The sequence below is a fragment of the Homo sapiens genome, chromosome 3 (genome assembly GCF_000001405.40).
Source record: "Homo sapiens chromosome 3, GRCh38.p14 Primary Assembly".
Classification (NCBI taxonomy): Eukaryota; Metazoa; Chordata; class Mammalia; order Primates; family Hominidae; genus Homo; species Homo sapiens.
This window is the reverse complement of record NC_000003.12, coordinates 9,807,220-9,809,726: the sequence shown is the minus strand read 5'-3', so window position 1 is coordinate 9,809,726 and position 2,507 is coordinate 9,807,220. Positions and strand designations below refer to the sequence as shown.

The 2,507-nt window shown below is 47.7% G+C and overlaps 1 protein-coding gene across 1 annotated transcript in view, besides 1 other annotated feature; it reads right to left on the bottom strand.

The window, feature by feature from the left end:
• The window catches only part of ARPC4-TTLL3 (ARPC4-TTLL3 readthrough), a 43,809-nt gene that overhangs the window by 26,630 nt on the left and 14,672 nt on the right, over positions 1 to 2,507 (bottom strand). The gene's annotated exons all lie outside the window — the stretch shown is intronic.
• Positions 244 to 393: an enhancer, noted in NCBI's record as "active region_19410". NCBI's record gives its function as "activates an Ori minimal core promoter by ATAC-STARR-seq in GM12878 lymphoblastoid cells {active_cell/tissue: GM12878}" and the evidence as "EXISTENCE:reporter gene assay evidence [ECO:0000049][PMID:35858748]".

Sequence of the window (2,507 nt, the reverse complement as noted above, 5' to 3'; positions counted from 1 at the left end):
AGCACTGAGCCCCAGTTAGTTAGTGTTGCGGTTCCTTATCCAGTACTTCCTGGTGCCACCGGCCCTAGGGTTTGAGTGATTCCACAGTATTTATAGGCGCTAACAAATGGCCCCTGACCTCATGGAGCTTACTAAAAGCCCAGTGTGAGGGGAATAAAAAGCAAGTAACAAAGGAAGAGAATAGTTTACAGGTATAATAAGGGCAATGAACAAGCAGAGGTGAAACCAGGAAGGGGGCGCATTTTAGATAAAGTGGCGCATTTAAGCTGAAGGTGTAAATGCCAGGAGTCAGGAGTCACCAGGGAAAGGGGAGGAACTGCACTTCAGGGAAGGGACAGTCCCAGCAACAGCCCTGAGAAGGGTAAGAACCTCTGTGCGAACTACAAGACAGCCAGGGTGGCTGGAGCCTGGTGAGGCCAGATCAGACCTGCTGGGCCTGGCAGATGGGCCTAGGGTAAGGTCCTTAGCGAGGGCAGCATATGGGGGTAACAAGAAGGTGCAGAGCACACCCTCCCCAGAAACTGGAAATGGAAAAACAATCATTTGAGTCAACTGCGAAAGAAATGTAATAGTTCACAACAGTTATGCCTGGCCCCCAGGCTAAGACTGTAAGCAACCTTTTTGGAAGCACTGGCAAAATATTATCCTCAAAAGTCACAGGGGAGGTAAGGCTCCAAGATGTTAAACAATTTGCCTCAAATCACAGAGCAGAGGCAGCACTGGAACCCAGGTCTGACTCCAAAGCCTGTCTCTTAAACACCTGTTATCACTCAGGTTGCCTGCCAGTCACAGAAGGACCACACAGGGACAGTTTGAGAGGCAAACTCTAGCAGTGCCCCCGCAGGCAGAGTCGAAGAGTGTCCTGGTAAGAGCCCAGCTTTGTCAGTCACTGGGTAGATGTGCTCTTAAGAGTGAAGGTGGATCCCCCACCTTCCTGTCCAGCTGACCCCAACTCCCCTTTAGCTGATGGCTGGACTTCCCGAAAAGCATGCCCCCCAGGAAAGGTGATTTAGGGAATTTGGACCCTGGGAGAGAGATACATGACAAATGAGGTTTGTGGCTGGCTCACCCAGGCAATGCTGTCCTGTGAGGGTTGTTGAGTGACCAGCTGCTATATCCTATTAGTCACCCAGTTTCACTGTGAGCACCTTTAACATTCACTGCAAAGCTAGAACATAGCCATGTGCCCTGGAGGAGGGAACACCTAATTCAGAGGGGTGGCGAGGTAGGTCACAGAGGTAATGTCATAAAGGAGATGATAGCACTTTGGGAGGCTGAGGCGGGGGGATCACCCAAGGCAGCCGAGGCAACATAGTGAGACCTAAAAAAAAACAAAAACCAAAAACAAAAAAATTAGCTGGGCGTGGTGGCACAGGCCTGTGGTCCCAGCTACTCAGGAAGCTGAGGTGGGAGAATCACTTGAGCCTGGGGAAGCTGAGGCTGCAGTGAGCCATGCTTGCGCCACTGCACTCCAGCCTGGGTAACAAAGCGAGACCCTGTCTCAAAAATGAAAAAAAAAAAGGGGGGGGGAGGAGGGGGGCAATAGCTGTTCCAAGTTGCCCTTACCCCCTCCTCCCTTTAACATCACCTTGTCCACCCCATCAGAAGAAACCCCTCTGGCCATCTGGAGGAATCCCTTTTGAAAGCTCAGCTCAAAGGTTCACCCTTCTTGAAGCTTACCCTGACACCCACTCCTATATTTACCCCTTGGCCCCCAGACTTCCAATATTAAATATGAAACACTTCAGTGAACCTTTTACACACCCAGCCCTTTTCCTGGACCTCCAAGCCTCAAGGCAAGGATAAACATCATGAACACTGGAAATTATTCAACAGCCCAGCCACTGGGCTGGTGGAAAAAATATAGTTCAGTCAGTACCTGTGTAGCAGCGACCGTATCAGATTGTTTATATTCATTATCTCCACTTCATAGACTAAGAAACTGAGACACAAAATAGAAGTAACTTAGCCAAATCTGGCAAGAAGAATCAGGACTCAAACACAAGGGTCTTTTGTCTTTTTACTTCAAGGTGTTACTAAGGTCTAGTACTATCCAATGGAACTTTCTGCAATGATGGGAATCTCTATGTATGTGTTGTATATGCTGTATGTCTATATATGCTGTTATATATGGTACAGTCACTGGTAGCTGTTAAGTTGCCAGTGGGACTGGGGAACTGGATTTTAAACTTTATTTAATTGTAATAATTAAAATTTAAATAGCCACTTGTGGATGGTGATTACTGTTTTGGCACAGGCAAAAGTCTACTCTCTTGCTCACTGGCTAGATTTGGGGCAAGCTATTACATCTCATGTTTGGAACCTCAGTTTCCTTATCCACCAAATGGGAGCACTGTTTCTCTGAGGTTACTTTTTAGCCCAAGTAAGTTCCTTATGTGAAAAGCACCAAAGCTCTGTATAGGCAGACAGAGCAGTTTCAGAAATTAATGGTGCCTGGACTGCAATGAATGGAGTCTCTGGGTTGGGACCCCTGGCAGGAATAATGG